The sequence below is a fragment of the Homo sapiens genome, chromosome 6, assembly GCF_000001405.40.
Source record: "Homo sapiens chromosome 6, GRCh38.p14 Primary Assembly".
Taxonomy (NCBI): Eukaryota; Metazoa; Chordata; class Mammalia; order Primates; family Hominidae; genus Homo; species Homo sapiens.
This window is the reverse complement of record NC_000006.12, coordinates 14,476,703-14,495,252: the sequence shown is the minus strand read 5'-3', so window position 1 is coordinate 14,495,252 and position 18,550 is coordinate 14,476,703. Positions and strand designations below refer to the sequence as shown.

The 18,550-nt window shown below is 43.1% G+C and overlaps 1 long non-coding RNA gene across 5 annotated transcripts in view; it reads right to left on the bottom strand.

Annotated features, from left to right (window-relative positions):
* The window catches only part of LOC101928331 (uncharacterized), an 84,318-nt gene that overhangs the window by 20,845 nt on the left and 44,923 nt on the right, over window positions 1-18,550 (bottom strand). The window lies entirely within an intron of this gene.

Genomic DNA, 18,550 nt, shown 5'->3' with positions numbered 1-18,550 from the left:
CATAACCTTGACAAGGATATTACAAGAAAAAAAAAATACAACATAATCCCTGTCATAAATAGGCACAAAGATTCTAACCAAAAAAATAGTAAACTGAACATTAATGTATAAAAAGATAGTGCATAATGGCCAAATTGTCTTTATTCAAAGTGTGCGAGGTTGGCTTAACATTCCAAAATCAATTAGTGAAACTCTCCACATTAACAACAGATGAAGGCAAAAAATCATATCATCATCTCCCCAGATGCATTAAAATTATTTGATAAAATTCAACACTTATTCATGATGAAAACTCTCAGTAAATTTGGAATTAAAAGAACTTCTTTAAACTAACAAAGAGTATACACAAAACATCCATGGCAAGCATCCTACTTAACAGTAGTGTACTGAAATATTTTCACTTGATTTTGGGAAAAGATGAGGATTTCAGCTATCATTATTTCTATATGACATTTTACTGGAGGGCATACTGCAATAAAGAATAAAAAAATTAGAGTTATAAGAATTGGGAAAAAGTCTTTAAAAACTATTACTGTATAAAGAAAATATGCTTATGTATATAGAATCTCAAAAAGAATCTGCTGATAAACTATGATATTTAATAAGTGGATTTACCAAAGCCATTGGCTTCAAGGTCAGGGTGCAAAAAAAATTAATTGTATTCTTAGATTGGAACAAATAATTAGAAAACAAAATTTTAAGATGATGCCCTTTAACCTAGAAATTGTTTTTCAAGACCCCTACCTCTCTATGAAGCTTTACTAAGAGAAATTAAAGAAGACCTAAATAAATGGAGGGATATACTGTGTTCATAGATTGGAAGATTCAGTGTTGATAAAGGTGTCATTTTCTCCCCTAAATTGATCTGTGTAGTCAATGTAATCCCAATAAAAATTTCAGCAGGTTTTTTTTTTAGAAATTTACAATCTGATTACAAAATTTATATGGAAATGCTAAGGACAAAAAGTGTCCAAGACAATCTTAAAGAAAAACAAAGTTGAAATAAAGTACTGACCGGGCACGGAGGCTCATGCCTGTAATCCCAGCACTTTGGGAGGCCCAGGCAGGTGGATCACCAGAGGCCAGGAGTTCGAGACCAGCCTGGCCAACATGGTGAAACCCCATCTCTGCTAAAAATACAAAATTAGCCAGGCATGGTGGCAGACACCTGTAATCCCAGCTACTTAGAAGGCTGAGGCAGGAGAATAGCTTGAACCCAGGAGCTGAGTTTGCAGTGAGCTGAGATCACAGCACTGCACTCCAACCTGGGCAACAGAGTGAGACTCCGTCTCAAAAAAAAAAAAAAAAAGAGAGAGAGAAAAGAAATAAAATACTAGATATTAGGAAGTATCATAAAGCTACGTTAATTTAAAACAGTGCAATCTTGGTGGCTAGTAGACCGTTGGAACAGACTAAGAAGTCTGAACATACACATTTAAATCCCCTGATTTACAACAAAGCTGACACTGCAGTGCAGCAATTATTAGAAAGTTCTGACATTCTGGTAATGTCCTATATCTTTATCTGGGTAGGAAGTCCATGGGTGTGTTCACTTTATTGAAATTCATTCAATAAAGAAAAGTTCAAAAGCTAATTCAGGTATTTTGCTTACGGGACTAATTTTCATGCTTAGCAGAATGGCTAAAAAGGTTGATGTGACACAACTACTTACTCCACGTTCTTCTGCCTGTAAGATGATGTGAGTCTGAGACTGTAGCTGAGACATTTAAAGCTTACTGTTGTTTGTGGCTCTGTTTAAACTGACTTGCTCCATCTTCCTCAGTCTCACACTAGGCAAGTTTCTGCATTAATTTGGCTCCCTAGCATTCTGTAGCCTGGCTTCATGCTTGAGGCTGCCAACCCACACTAAATAAAGGACAGCATGAAGACCAGCTTAGAATTGTCTCTTCCTTCCTATATGAATCTTTAGTGGGAAAGAGCTACCCTTCTCAACACAGATCTTTCTGTTGAGAGTAAAAGGGTAGCCCCCAAGCCTGGGTTACAGCTTTTAGTGGGAACTGGCTCCAAATTATAATAAAAGAACTAACCTTTGTTGTGTGCATCCTATGCTCCAGGAATTATTCCAAGTACTTTATATATATATTAACTTATTTAATAACATAACAATTCTGTGAGCTAGGGAGTATTATTTGCCCTATGTTTCAGGTTAGGGACTAGAGGCATAGAGCAGCGAGGAATCTGTCAAAGATCGCACAGCTAGAAGCAGTGAAGCCGAGCAGTAGGGTTCTTTCTAGAGCTCTTTTTTACAGAACCAACAGGTTTGTATGCCCGCTGCCCAGTAACGGACCCATTACACTGAGACAGTAGGGTTTGCAGCAGAGAAAGAGTTTAATGATTGCAGGGCATTGTGTGAGGAGATGGGAGGAGACCTCCAAATCTGTCTTCCTGAGGAGTTCTGGGCTGGGGCTTTTAAGGGGACTGTGGAAGGTGAAGGGTTTGAAAACTGAGGTTGTTGGTTGGTTGGGGCAGGGAGGAAGAAATCATGGAGCTGTGGAAGCTGCATCCATTGGTGAGTTAGCTCCTTGTGGGCCCTTCAGACCAGTTGAGTCAGTTGTTACATCAGTTTGCAGGACCTGAAGGAATATCTCAAAGGGAAAACTTAACGTTTCATGATGTTCAAGTTGTTATCTAAAGAGCTGTTCAGGAGAACTGTCGTCTAAGGTCTATATGATTCTAGGACCATAGGTACCAAACAGCTTTGAGGAAGCAGGGCAGAGAGTAAGCTCACTTAATGATTAATGTGGAACGTGCTGCAAGCTTAGTTTATTTTTGTTTCTCCCTCCCTTCTTCTCTAACTAATTTTATAAAGTTTATAGGGGCAGTTTCACCTTGCTCTTTCCAAACACACCATATAATACACAAGCAATAAATGTCATGCTACACACGGTCTTAGTTTCTTTAGTTTCAGAAGATCCAGAAGAAGACTTGCTGCCTGAAGATTCTTCTCTACAGAACCCAGCTCTTTGTGAGAGGCTGGCTGTGCAGCAGAAGGAAGCCCATGAGATTCAGAACCTAGGCTCGGCCAGGAGTCTTGCCAGGAAGAGGCAAGAGAGGAGAGGCCTCTTCCTGGTGGTGGCTGCTGAGTAGCAGAATTGTAGATTTTGTTTGATTGTAAAAAATAAAAAGTATTACAGAGAAATGCAATCATCAGCAAATTAAGGTTGGAGCAACAATGACAAACATTTTAAACACACACACACACACACACACACACACACACACACACACACACACACACACAGCTTTTCTTAGTGCCTGATGTTCTTCCTGCTTTCACCCTGTTCCTTGCTCCAGAACCGCCATTTTCTGAGCTCTCAGCAGTAAACTTAATAAAGATTGATATCAATGACAAATTCTGTCAACTTCCATGCTGCAAAACTTAGTCACTGTGCAAAATGGACCAAGGAAAATAAATAACCCGAGGAATGATGGAGTGTGTAAATATTGATGTGGATGCTGGGCACAGGGAAGTTGGATGAAGCAAAACAGAGCTTAGTGATGGCTCGTTCCCGCACCCTGGTTGAATGCAGAAAGGTCTTTTCATGGTGATTTTAATCCCCTGGCATTATTTTCTGGGGGGGAGTGTATGTTGTAGGTGAAACTGTAAATTCTTAGATTCAAAAAAACCATTCTAGAAAGGGCATATTTTTTAATATGCCCTTCAATAAAAACTTACTGTTACAAAAATAGTGCTTTATATAGAAAAATATAAAAATGCATATAGGAAAAATAGAATAATAAAGAATACCCATAATTCTGCCACTCAAAATACTATACTAGTGGTGAGCATTTTCCAGACCTTTTTCCATGCCTACGTACACATTTCCTCATTCCTAAGATGCAAATTTTCCAAAGTTTGGTATTTTGGGAATCAGTTTAAATATGTGAGTGCATACAATATGACAGTATTTCCTTTCATCTGAAAAAACTGTTATTAAGTTAATAGTGTTTCATACAAATAATGACATTTTAAAATTAAGGAAATATGTGGGTGTTACATATTTGTAAAAATATTATATTGTACATACAATGTTTTCCATTTTTACTGTGATAAAGTGTACATAAATGGCAATATACATAATAGTAAACATAAATTTTGCCATTTGTTTTTTTTTTTTGTTTTTTTTTTTTGAGACAGGATCTTGCTGTCATCCAGTTTGGAGTGCAGTGGCATGATCTCAGCTCACTGCAGCTTTGACCTCCCAGGCTCAAACGATTCATCCACCTCAGCCTCCCGAGTAGCTGGGACTACAGGCATATGCCCCCACACCAGACTAGTTTTTGTATTTTTGGTAGAGATGGGGTTTCGCCATGTTGCCCAGGCTGGTCTCAAACTCCTGGACTCAAGCAATCCGCCTGCCTTGGCTTCCCAGAGTGCTGGGATTACAGGCATGAGCCACCATGCCCCGCCCATTTTAACAATTTTTAAGTGTACAATTCAGTGGCATTAAGTACCTTCACAATGTCATGTAACCATCACCACTGTCTATTTCTAGAAGTTTTTCATCATCCCAAACAGAAACTCTCTGCCCATTAAACAACAAGTTCCCATTCTTCTCTCCCTCCAACTCTTGGTAACTTCTATTCTACTTTTGTCTCTATGAATTGAATAGTTGCTCATATAAGTGGAATTATACAATATGTGTCTTTTTGTGTCTAGCTTATTTCACTCAGCATAATGTTTTCAAGGTTAATCCATGTTGTAACATGTAGCAGAATTCCATTCCTTTTTTTAAGCTAATGTGTCACATTTTGTTTATTCAATCATTTGTTGATGGACACTTGAGTTGTTTACACCTTTCAGCTGTTCTGAATACTGCTGCTATAAATACTGGTGTATAAGTATCACTTTGAGGCCCTGCTTTCAGTTCTTTTGCGTATATACCTAGAAGCGGAATTGCTGGATCCAGTGGTGATTGTATGTTTAACTTTTTGAGGAACTGCCATACTTTTTCCACGTGGCTGCCTTATTTTACATTCTCATCAGCAATGCACAAGGGTTCCAATCTCTCTGCAGTCTCAACAGTGCTTGTTATTTTCCCTGTTTAATAGTAGCCATTCTACTGAATGTGAAGTGTCTGTGCCTACTATATGGAACCTGCTTCTCCCGGTTAATGACATATCCTGAATATCTTTCCATGTCAGGTAATAGTCTTCTACAATCCATATGAATTGCCATTTTAAAGGCGGTGTATTATTTAGCTGTATGTACGAACATGCATACTTTCCAAAATAATCCTCTATTGTTAAATATTTAGATTGCTCCCAGTTTTTTTCCTATTGAAAATGATGATGAAATAAATACTTTATGGCTATTTTTTGCACACATTCTTAGTTACTTCAATGGGAATACATTTACAGATATGATACTGTTGAATCAGACAGGAATGCGTGAGGCTTTTAATTCATAATTCTAAATTGCCTCCACTTAGTCTGAAATGGAAAAAGTCAAGAGTCCTTCACTGAAGAACCACCCACACCACCACTGCCAACCCCAAAGATTTAACTGGAAAATATTTACACTTATGAGAAAAGGAGAAACTGGTGTGAGAATTTGGTCAATAATATAAAAATTGTATCAGTCAGCTCTTTTGCCAGATGGCTTGACAGTTCTGGAAAGATGAAATTCTTTCTAATTTTCATCTTGGATCTGGGCGAAAACTTTTTTTCAGAGAAGTATGATTACTTTCTTTCTAACCTGATTTCTGTATATCTCATCTGCCATTCTTGCCCGGGATGTGATAGGAAAATGAAAAGAAAATAGAGTAACAGCAGACATTTGAGCCAAAGAGCTCCTCTAGCAGTTACTTGTACTTGAAATTCTAGAGAATTTCTATGCAATGTCTATAGAAAAAAATAAAAAGAAATTTTCAATTGGTATGTCTAAATTAGTGCACATAACGTGCCAAATCTCTGCAGTAGAAATTCTCTGGAGAGTTTTCTTCTCTCTGAGAAACTGGGTGATTTTACCAAAAGCATCCTATTTCATCCCTCATTGCTTGTTAGGGCAGATGCTGCAGCACTGACCTGGCAGCAGGTATGTGAACAGCCATCCTAGGTAATTAGAATGACCTGCTCTAGCTAAGTCACCTCAGTAACAACCATGGCCTAATCATGTGGCCCCCAAATCAGTGCCTCTCAGACTTAGTTGTACATCAGAATCACTGAGGGCTGTGAAAACACAGATTGCTGGGCCCCACACCAAGAGGTTCTGATGCAGTAGGAGTGGGGAGGGCCTGAGAACCTGCATTTCTAACAACTTTCAAGGTGCTGCTGGTTAAGGGGCTGCACTATGAGAACCACTGCCTTCCTTGAGAACACCTTGCACCCTCCTCCCTCCGAATAGCTTTGGATGATTATTTAGGTGAGGGATTAAGAGAAAGGAAGCTAAAAGATAAACACAACAACTACATAAATTGTGATAATCATGATAAAAAGCTCGCCATACTAGTGTCACAGGATCATTTGGGGTGTCACAGAGGCCGGAAACCTCTGTGGCTGGTGGCACCTGTGCCTGAGTTTTGCTCAGGCCCACTGGGTTTGTTCTGCCCACTCATCCTGGCAGACTGCGTTCGGCTCATGATACTGGCCTGGACCCCATGCCTGCCAAGGGAGACTGCGTGGAGTGGCAAGGGGTGTGTGAGCAAGTGTGGGGTCTGGCCACTGTGCAGTCAGACATGCCAGCTACTGCAGCAGGGCAGGCAGCTCCAGGTGCCAGCATGGGTGGCGGCTCTCTGTGAAGCTGCAGCTGGACCAGGTGCATCACAAGCAGCTTCCACAGTTGGCAGCTGGGAATACAGTGGCACCCAGAAGCTTGGAGATGCCAGGAACTGTGGGGCCCCAAAGAGGAAGTCTAGCCCTGGCTTAGGCAGCTCCCAGGTCTGGGGTCCCTGAAGGGCCCTAGTTCTTCTTTTTTTCTCTTTGCCCACAATGTGACAAGCAAGGTGCATGTCTCAGCCCTGTTGGTGTTGCAGCTTTTTTAGCCTCACTATTTGGCGGGTTCCAAGTTCTTGTCCTGAGACCAGGAAGAATAAGGTATGCAGACAATTGGAGGGTGAGCGAGATGAAGAGGAGCTTTATTGAGTGATAGAACAGCTCAGAGGAAACCCGCACTGGGTAGCTCCTTTCCACAGCCAGGGTGTCCCAGTGAGTGTTCAGCTCCTAGCAGAGAGGGTAGCTCCTCTCTGCTAGGCAAGTCATCCTGACAAATGTTTAGCTATCAGCAGAGAGGGTAGCTCCTCCCTGTAGCTGGTCTTCCTGTTGTCTGCAGCTCTCAGTGGAGGAGAAGAATGGGTGGCTCCTCCCTGAAGGCAGGCCATCCCAATGTTGTCTCTCTGTGCTCTCTGCAGCTAGTCATCCTGACATCTGCAGCTCTCAGCAGAGAGGAGGCCCTGGAGTGGGTAGCTCCTCTCTGCAGCTGGTCGTCCCGATGTCTGCTCAGCTCCGGCTGAGCCCAGGGCTTTATGGGCCTCAGAGGGGAGGAATTACATGCCAATTGGTCCAGAGGTGGCCATAGGTGGGCCCAGAAAAGGCACCACAAGTTCCTCCTCTGGTCTGCTGGATGGGCAGGCCAGCCCCCAGCCTTCAGGCTCTCCCAGGCCTGAAGGTGGGGCCTCATCAGGTACCCACCCTCTTATGCCCAGGATCCTGTCTGCCTCCTGCTGCCCTCCATGGTGCCCAGGCTGCTTGTGCCAAGGGGCACCTGCAGGCCAGTGTCAGGCTGTCTTCAGCCCCACCTTGGCCTTTCTCTTGTGCTTGCTGGTGCCAAAAGTCCAAAGGGGGCCAAGGCAGCAGGGGGCTGGTGTGTCAGTGCTGCCCTGAGCATGTGCACTCCTGGCGGGCTGCGACAACACCTTGGCTTGGCTCCACATTGCTCCAAAATCGGAGCAGGTGCTGACAGAGAACCCAGGAAGCAGAAGTAGGCACTCCCAAGCCTGCAAGGGCAGGAGGGGTGGTCTTCTCAGGCCCCCAAGGGCACGGGGAGGCTCGGGTCCACAGCCCTGACTTGGACGGCTGCAGTTGCACTCAGGAGGGTGGGGCTCCTGTCTGCTCTGTGGAGCAAGAGGCCCAGGTCTACAGCTGCAACTTGGATGGCTGTAGCTGCACCCAGGAGGGCAGGCTTCCCCCTGCTCCTGGGCCTTGAGAGCACAGGGATGCCCGGGTTGTGGCTTGGGTGGCTGCAGTGGCACCTAGGGAGCTCCCATCCCAACTTGGAAGGCTCCCACTAGCTCCACAGAACACGTAGCCCCAGCAGCACCTCCCTGCTGCGGTCAGTGTGATTTCAGTGGCCGCTCCAGACGGCCCGCTGCTGCCATCACAAGGGCTACAACTATGTTTCATTCATGAGATTTATATTTTTTTTCCTAAGGAATTGCTGGAGTTCTCTTTCTTAGAATTGGTATCAATTGACAACAAGCTTCTCTGGACAGGGATAGAGGTGGCAACCTAGATCACATAGCAACTCTGACCATTGAAATTTTCACTGTGCTTACTTCAGTGGCTTCAGTGACTCATATTTATATGATATGCGTAAAACAGCACTGGTAGATGGCTTAAGATATTTTCAAATCTGTATAGTGTAAGTCCCCAAATAAAATATATAGTCTTTGAGGCAAGGAGCCTATTTTCTATCACTTCAGGGCACTTGGCATCTAGTCAGCATTCAGTGTATGTTATGAATCAACTCAAGATAAGGGAGTCCATCTACAAGGCTCACTGGAAGTATTAAAATATGTGACAAGGAAATACTTAGGAAGGTATAGGAAGTGTGGTAAAACTGTGCCTCACAGGGTTAAACGGACCAAAGAACAGGGCTAAAAGGGATTTTGGTGATTAACAAAATGTATGAGCTTCTTTATAGGATGTCCACTTACTAAACCACAGGGCCAGTTAAAACCAGCCAGAACCAATATGGCTGGCTGGAGCTTGTGCAAAGGAGATCAGCTTGCTGGCTGCGTGACCTTTGATATCACATCCCAAATTTCCACCACATGTTTTATACCAATCCCCAACCCCGGAATTTACAGATGTGACCTATGAAGGATAACTGTATGCCCAAGAGAATTTCCTTTTTTTAATTTTTTTTATTTTTATTTATTTTTTATTATTATACTTTAAGTTTTAGGGTACATGTGCACATTGTGCAGGTTAGTTACATATGTATATATGTGCCATGCTAGTGCGCTGCACCCATTAACTCGTCATCTAGCATTAGGTATATCTCCCAGTGCTATCCCTCCCCCCTCCCCCCACCCCACAACAGTCCCCAGAGTGTGATGTTCCCCTTCCTGTGTCCATGTGTTGTCATTGTTCAATTCCCACCTATGAGTGAGAATATGCAGTGTTTGGTTTTTTGTTCTTGCGATAGTTTACTGAGAATGATGATTTCCAATTTCATCCATGTCCCTACAAAGGACATGAACTCATCATTTTTTTATGGCTGCATAGTATTCCATGGTGTATATGTGCCACGTTTTCTTAATCCAGTCTATCATTGTTGGACATTTGGGTTGGTTCCAAGTCTTTGCTATTATGAATAGTGCCGCAATAAACATATGTGCGCATGTGTCTTTATAGCAGCATGATTTATAGTCCTTTGGGTATATACCCAGTAATGGGATGGCTGGGTCAAATGGTATTTCTAGTTCTAGATCCCTGAGGAATCGCCACACTGACTTCCACAATGATTGAACTAGTTTACAGTCCCACCAACAGTGTAAAAGTGTTCCTATTTCTCCACATCCTCTCCAGCACCTGTTGTTTCCTGACTTTTTAATGATTGCCATTCTAACTGGTGTGAGATGATATCTCATTGTGGTTTTGATTTGCATTTCTCTGATGGCCAGTGATGGTGAGCATTTTTTCATGTGTTTTTTGGCTGCATAAATGTCTTCTTTTGAGAAGTGTCTGTTCATGTCCTTTGCCCACTTTTTGATGGGGTTGTTTGTTTTTTTCTTGTAAATTTGTTTGAGTTCATTGTAGATTCTGGATATTAGCCCTTTGTCAGATTAGTAGGTTGTGAAAATTTTCTCCCATTTTGTGGGTTGCCTGTTCACTCTGATGGTAGTTTCTTTTGCTGTGCAGAGGCTCTTTAGTTTAATTAGATCCCATTTGTCAATTTTGGCTTTTGTTACCATTGCTTTTGGTGTTTTAGACATGAAGTCCTTGCCCATGCCTATGTCCCGAATGGTAATGCCTAGGTTTTCTTCTAGGGTTTTTATGGTTTTAGGTCTAACGTTTAAGTCTTTAATCCATCTTGAATTGATTTTTGTATAAAGTGTAAGGAAGGGATCCAGTTTCAGCTTTCTACATATGGCTAGCCAGTTTTCCCAGCACCATTTGTTAAATAGGGAGTCCTTTCCCCATTTCTTGTTTTTGTCAGGTTTGTCAAAGATCAGATAGTTGTAGATATGTGGCGTTATTTCTGAGGGCTCTGTTCTGTTCCATTGATCTATATCTCTGTTTTGGTACCTGTACCATGCTGTTTTGGTTACTGTAGCCTTGTAGTATAGTTTGAAGTCAGGTAGCATGATGCCTCCAGCTTTGTTCTTTTGGCTTAGGATTGACTTGGCAATGCGGGCTCTTTTTTGGTTCCATATGAACTTTAAAGTAGTTTTTTCCAATTCTGTGAAGAAAGTCATTGGTAGCTTGATGGGGATGGCATTGAATCTATAAATTACCTTGGGCAGTATGGCCATTTTCACGATATTGATTCTTCCTACCCATGAGCATGGAATGTTCTTGCATTTGTTTGTATCCTCTTTTATTTCATTGAGCAGTGGTTTGTACTTCTCCTTGAAGAGGTCCTTCACATCCCTTGTAAGTTGGATTCCTAGGTATTTTATTCTCTTTGAAGCAATTGTGAATGGGAGTTCACTCATGATTTGGCTCTCTGTTTGTCTGTTATTGGTGTATAAGAATGCTTGTGATTTTTGTACATTGATTTTGTATCCTGAGACTTTGCTGAAGTTGCTTATCAGCTTAAGGAGATTTTGGGCTGAGACAATGGGGTTTTCTAGATATACAATCATGTCGTCTGCAAACAGGGACAATTTGACTTCCTCTTTTCCTAATAGAATACCCTTTATTTCCTTCTCCTGCCTAATTGCCCCGGCCAGAACTTCCAACACTGTGTTGAACAGGGGTGGTGAGAGAGGGCATCCCTGTCTTGTGCCAGTTTTCAAAGGGAATGCTTCCAGTTTTTGCCCATTCAGTATGATATTGGCTGTGGGTTTGTCATATATAGCTCTTATTATTTTGAGATACGTTCCATCAATACCTAATTTATTGAGAGTTTTTAGCATGAAGGGTTGTTGAATTTTGTCAAAGGCCTTTTCTGCATCTATTGAGATAATCATGTGGTTTTTGTCTTTGGTTCTGTTTGTATGCTGGATTACATTTATTGATTTGCATATGTTGAACCAGCCTTGCATCCCTGGGATGAAGCCCACTTGATCATGGTAGATAAGCTTTTTGATGTGCTGCTGGATTTGGTTTGCCAGTATTTTATTGAGGATTTTTGCATCAATGTTCATCAAGGATATTGGTCTAAAATTCTCTTTTTTGGTTGTGTCTCTGCCTGGCTTTGGTATCAGGATGATGCTGGCCTCATAAAATGAGTTAGGGAGGATTCCCTCTTTTTCTACTGATTAGAATAGTTTCAGAAGGAATGGTACCAGTTCCTCCTTGTACCTCTGGTAGAATTCGGCTGTGAATCCATCTGGTCCTGGACTCTTTTTGGTTGGTAAGCTATTGATTATTGCCACAATTTCAGCTCCTGTTATTGGTTTATTCAGAGATTCAACTTCTTCCTGGTTTAGTCTTGGAAGAGTGTATGTGTCGAGGAATTTATCCATTTCTTCTAGATTTTCTAGTTTCTTTGCGTAGAGGTGTTTGTAGTAATCTCTGATGGTAGTTTGTATTTCTGTGGGATCAGTGGTGATATCCCCTTTATCATTTTTTATTGCATCTATTTGATTCTGCTCTCTTTTTTTCTTTATTAGTCTTGCTAGCGGTCTATCAATTTTGTTGATCCTTTCAAAGAACCAGCTCCTGGATTCATTAATTTTTTGAAGGGTTTTTTGTGTCTCTATTTCCTTCAGTTCTGCTCTGATTTTAGTTATTTCTTGCCTTCTGGTAGCTTTTGAATGTGTTTGCTCTTGCTTTTCTAGTTCTTTTAGTTGTGATGTTAGGGTGTCAATTTTGGATCTTTCCTGCTTTCTCTTGTGGGCATTTAGTGCTATAAATTTCCCCCTACACACTGCTTTGAATGCGTCCCAGAGATTCTGGTATGTTGTGTCTTTGTTCTCGTTGGTTTCAAAGAACATCTTTATTTCTGCCTTCATTTTGTTATGTACCCAGTAGTCATTCAGGAGCAGGTTGTTCAGTTCCCATGTAGTTGAGCAGTTTTGAGTGAGTTTCTTAATCCTGAGTTCTAGTTTGATTGCACTGTGGTCTGAGAAATAGTTTGTCATAATTTCTGTTCTTTTACATTTGCTGAGGAGAGCTTTACTTCCGACTATGTGGTCAATTTTGGAATAGGTGTGGTGTGGTGCTGAAAAAAATGTATATTCTGTTGATTTGGGGTGGAGAGTTCTGTAGATGTCTATTAGGTCCGCTTGGTGCAGAGCTGAGTTCAATTCCTGGGTATCCTTGTTAACTTTCTGTCTCGTTGATCTGTCTAATGTTGACAGTGGGGTGTTAAAGTCTCCCATTATTAATGTGTGGGAGTCTAAGTCTCTTTGTAGGTCACTCAGGACTTGCTTTATGAATCTGGGTGCTCCTGTATTGGGTGCATATATATTTAGGATAGTTAGCTCTTCTTGTTGAATTGATCCCTTTACCATTATGTAATGGCCTTCTTTGTCTCTTTTGATCTTTGTTGGTTTAAAGTCTGTTTTATCAGAGACTAGGATTGCAACCCCTGCCTTTTTTTGTTTTCCATTTGCTTGGTAGATCTTCCTCCATCCTTTTATTTTGAGCCTATGTGTGTCTCTGCATGTGAGATGGGTTTCCTGAATATAGCACACTGATGGATCTTGACTCTTTATCCAATTTGCCAGTCTGTGTCTTTTAATTGGAGTGTTTAGTCCATTTACATTTAAAGTTAATATTGTTATGTGTGAATTTGATCCTGTCATTATGATGTTAGCTGGTTATTTTGCTCATTAGTTGATGCAGTTTCTTCCTAGTCTTGATGGTCTTTACATTTTGGCATGATTTTGCAGCGGCTGGTACTGGTTGTTCCTTTCCATGTTTAGTGCTTCCTTCAGGAGCTCTTTTAGGGCAGGCCTGGTGGTGACAAAATCTCTCAGCATTTGCTTGTCTGTAAAGTATTTTATTTCTCCTTCACTTATGAAGCTTAGCTTAGCTGGATATGAAATTCTGGGTTGAAAATTATTTTCTTTAAGAATGTTGAATATTGGCCCCCACTCTCTTCTGGCTTGTAGAGTTTCTGCTGAGAGATCCGCTGTTAGTCTGATGGGCTTCCCTTTGTGGGTAACCCGACCTTTCTCTCTGGCTGCCCTTAACATTTTTTCCTTCATTTCAACTTTGGTGAATCTGACAATTATGTGTCTTGGAGTTGCTCTTCTCGAGGACTTCTCGAGGAGTATCTTTGTGGCGTTCTCTGTATTTCCTGAATCTGAATGTTGGCCTGCCTTGCTAGATTGGGGAAGTTCTCCTGGATAATATCCTGCAGAGTGTTTTCCAACTTGGTTCCATTATCCCCATCACTTTCAGGTACACCAATCAGACGTAGATTTGGTCTTTTCACATAGTCCCATATTTCTTGGAGGCTTTGTTCGTTTCTTTTTATTCTTTTTTCTCTAAACTTCCCTTCTCGCTTCATTTCATTCATTTCATCTTCCATCGCTGACACCCTTTCTTCCAGTTGATCACATCAGCTCCTGAGGCTTCTGCATTCTTCACGTAGTTCTCGAGCCTTGGCCTTCAGCTCCATCAGCTCCTTTAAGCACTTCTCTGTATTGGTTATTCTAGTTATACATTCGTCTAAATTTTTTTCAAAGTTTTTAACTTCCTTGCCTTTGGTTTGAATTTCCTCCTGTAGCTCGTAGTTTGATCGTCTGAAACCTTCTTCTCTCAATTCGTCAAAGTCATTCTCCATCCAGCTTTGTTCCATTGCTGGTGAGGAACTGCGTTCCTTTGGAGGAGGAGAGGTGCTCTGCTTTTTAGAGTTTCCAGTTTTTCTGCTCTGTTTTTCCCCCATCTTTGTGGTTTTATCTACTTTTGGTCTTTGATGTTGGTGATGTACAGATGGGTTTTTGGTGTGGATGTCCTTTCTGTTTGTTAGTTTTCCTTATAACAGACAGGACCCTCAGCTGCAGGTCTGTTGGAGTTTGCTAGAGGTCCACTCCAGACCCTGTTTGCCTGGGTATCAGCAGCGGTGTTTGCAGAACAGCGGTTTTTTTGTGAACCGCAAATGCTGCTGTCTGATCGTTATTCTGGAAGTTTTGTCTCAGAGGAGTACCCGGCTGTGTGAAGTGTCAGTCTGCCCCTCCTGGGGGGTGCCTCCCAGTTAGGCTGCTCAGAGGTCAGGGGTCAGGGACCCACTTGAGGAGGCAGTCTGCCCATTCTCAGATCTCCAGCTGCATGCTGGGAGAACCACTGCTCTCTTCAAAGCTGTCAGACAGGGACATTTAAGTCTGCAGAGGTTACTGCTCTCTTTTTGTCTGTGCCCTGCCCCCAGAGGTGGAGCCTACAGAGGCAGGCAGGCCTCCTTGAGCTGTGGTGGGCTCCACCCAGTTCCAGCTTCCCGGCTGCTTTGTTTACCTAAGCAAGCCTGGGCAATGGCGGGCGCCCCTCCCCCAGCCTGGCTGCCACCTTGCAGTTTGATCTCAGACTGCTGTGCTAGCAATCAGCGAGACTCCGTGGGCATAGGACCCTCCAAGCCAGGTGTGGGATATAATCTCCTGGTGCGCAGTTTTTTAAGCCTGTCGGAAAAGCGCAGTATTCGGGTGGGAGTGACCCGATTTTCCAGGTGCCGTTTGTCGCCCCTTTCTTTGACTAGGATAGGGAATTCCCTGACCCCTTGCGCTTCCCGAGTGAGGCAATGCCTCGCCCTGCTTCGGCTCGAGCACGGTGCGCTGCACCCACTGACCTGCGCCCACTGTCTGGCACTCCCTAGTGAGATGAACCCAGTACCTCAGAAGGAAATGCAGAAATCATCCGTCTTCTGCGTCGCTCACGCTGGGAGCTGTAGACCGGAGCTGTTCCTATTCACTTGTTTATTTCTTGAATGAGAATTTCCTAACTTCCCTTTCCTTTCTACAAGTCCTTAACCAGCCCCCAAATCCTCCTCCTAAAATTGCTGACCTTAAATATACTACTTGTGAGCTGAGATGAGCAGATAGATTTGAACCCATCTCCTATCTTCTTGTTTGGCTGCCCTGCAATAACACTTTCTTTCTAAAAAATTCAACACTTCAGTGTTTGGGTTTCTGCCCTGCATGGTCAAACAGACCCAGCTGGGTTCTGTAACAGTGGTAGACTATGACATGCCCTCGCACGGTCCCTTCTGCATTGGTAGAGGACTTGGCCATGGGGCTTGCTTTGGCCAGTGGAACAGCAGCAAATGTGACCGAACAGAAGCTGGATAAGCACTTGCACATCGGGGCTTGTCCTCTTGAAATGCTTCCTCTTGGAAGCCACCTGCCATTCTATGAAGAAGTTCGGGCTAGATCACTGAATGATGAGCAACCACATAGAGAAAGACCCCCACAGAATAAGAGACCGTCAAGGATGTGTAAGTCTCAGTGAACTTCCAGGTGAATGCACCTGATGAGTGACCTGAGCTATTGCACTTTCATGCTGAAGAACTGCCACCTGAGCCCTGCCAACCACCAACTCTTAAATAATGGGAGGAGATTGTTACCAAGTAATAGACAGCTGAAAAAAAGAATGCAAAAGCAGAATAAATTAAAATCTAGAAAATAATTCAATAATCACATATGAGATTCCCCTCAGGGAATTTCTGCTTTTGTGATACATGTAGGATAGTCTTATGTTGAAATCTGAGAATAAAAATTCAAACTAAATGTCAAGAAAATTTTACTCATTTATTAATTCCTTCAACAGTCTTTTGTTGGCCTTCTGTTATGAGCCAGGCTCCGTGTGAATAGAGAAGACAGGGAAAGGGAGAGAGACGAGGGAGCTCATCTCACCCCAGCACAGTGTGCTAAGTGTTGTGAAGGACGGCTGTGGGGAGTACAGCGGAGGGTAGGAGGACGGGCAGAGCTGAGGGAACTTCCCAGAAAAAGGTGGCCCCAGAGAGAAAGATTTTGCTGGCTAAGGACTTTTATGGAAACCTAACTTGGGATGATTTAATTCCAGGTATCTTTATGAAACTTAGGATTTAAAAAAGACAAATGGAGAGTTAGATAAGGAGAGACAAGCATTTCCTATTTATTTAAAGATTCCAAATACAACTCTTCATAAGATATGAATGATCTGTCTTGGCTCCCTTAAAGCACATCCTGGACACATGGCCAAGAAACTGCTTCCTTCAATCACCACGACAGAGTGCCTCGTGTAACAGTGTTCTGCACCTTCCCCTCTCCTCCCCTACCCACACCCATCCTCACACATGCTCCTCCCTGCCCCTGACACTGACAACCTAGGAATTGCTAGGAGAAAAGCCTGGCATATGTGGGAGCCACCCTCAGAGAAGCTGTCCCGAAGGAAAGGTGCTAACTAGGTGAAGACATATGACTCTCTGAGCGCTATTTCTTAATTCTAATGGAGGGAGACTGTGGCATGGAGCCAGGAAACAGAAAAGGCATGAAAAGAAGAACTAATTTGGAGCTGGCGGGGTGAGTGTTTCCTGGCTTATTTAAAAACATAGATACAGAATTCAAACATGGAAGAGGAATCTGACTACCAGAAGGAGACAGGATGTCAACAATGGAGTCAACAATGGCCAGGCCTGAAGCGATGTATTTTGACACTAGGGAAGCCATATAAAGAATACTGCTTGGTGGATCGGGTGGGTTCATCTTATACTCAATGTTTCATTTCCATTTAAATCTCTTGGAGGCAGAGGTTGAGGTTATTGACTTGGCCCCATATTAAGGAAAAATCATAACCCAGGCCTCCAAAGACCTTCCAGACTACAAGAGAAAAAGTCAAACACATGGCTAACGGGCATATATAAGGATCTTCACTGAACACGGACTTTTGAATGTCTATGATGTAGCAAGCACTGTGCTGGACACCACAGGTGCATTAAGGCATATGCCGGAGTCCCTTCCCTCAGGGAACATCCCTTCTAATTGCCACTTAAACATGGCAAACCTACGGAGGTGTGCCAGGACAAGGGCAGTCAGAAGGGTGGTGTGGTATACTGGGAAGCTCATAGACCACCTTGCTTTGAGTGCCTCTCAGCCGCTGTCTTGCTCTGTGATTTTAAGGAAGTCCTTGAACCTCGCTGAGCCTGCTTTTTCCATCTGCAGATTGGTGATAATGAAACCTACCTTGCTGTTTCATGTTGAGGAATCACTGTGAGAAGGTAAGGCCGTAACAATTTGTCGGAAGGAGAAGGAAGGTCAAAGCTTTGTTGAAGAGCTTTATGCTATTGGCCAAACAGAAACATAGAGCCCTGTGTGTGGTAACTCTCAGGGGACATGGTTGCCTCGTGGATAAAAACGTGAGAATTAGAAGAACAGAAAAAGCCAGCAGGAAAACTCAGAGGAAAGAGTCAGAGAGAACAAGGATGTTGTCTGTCTCCAGCATAATTGTGTAGAGCCTGGGATTCATTGCTAGTGACATTCCCTGGCTTCTCCCTCAGTGTGACGTCATGTGCTCTGTGATGTTTATTGCACTGCATTCCAGGGATGCTGCACAGAGCCATGTCCAGTGTCAGAAACCTTGGAAAATAGTCCTCGGTTTAATTTTAACTTTTTATATAAACAGTGACCTAATTTGAGGAAGGCTCGGTCTGGCCAGGCATCCCCGCTCCCACATTTCCTCCTCTTCACTCCCTCCTTCTGCCCTTAGTCAAACTGTCTCGCCTTCATCTCCCATATGGACTTTGCAAACAAGCAAGGGGGATGTGTGAGCTCAGCTAACTTGAAAAGAGAAGACGTGTGCCAGCGAAGCAAAACACTCCAGCCAAGTCATGCACCTCTGCGGGAGGGAGCCACCTCCTCAGCTCTCATCGTGAAATGTTATCTCACCAGGGCAGATGGAGGTACAGACAGAGGACTCCAACGCAACACAAGCAGCTGCCTGTCCAGAAGAGAGCCCTTTCTCTCCCTCCCAGTCCCAGCTCCAGCTGTATTTTCTTTCTTTCTTTCTTGAGCAAGAGGTCAGGTTCTCTCTGTATGCTTTGTGCAAATTAAGTGAGCTGTGAGTGCTGCCTGCGGCCGAAGGAACTACCCTCTGGTCTATGGTTCATCCTTCCTTCACTCCAACCACCACTGAGGGAGCAGAGCCCTCCCTGCCCAAATGCACAAGTGGGCAGCACCTCCGAGAACACAGAAGAATATGAAACGACCCTTCTAATTACTCAGGT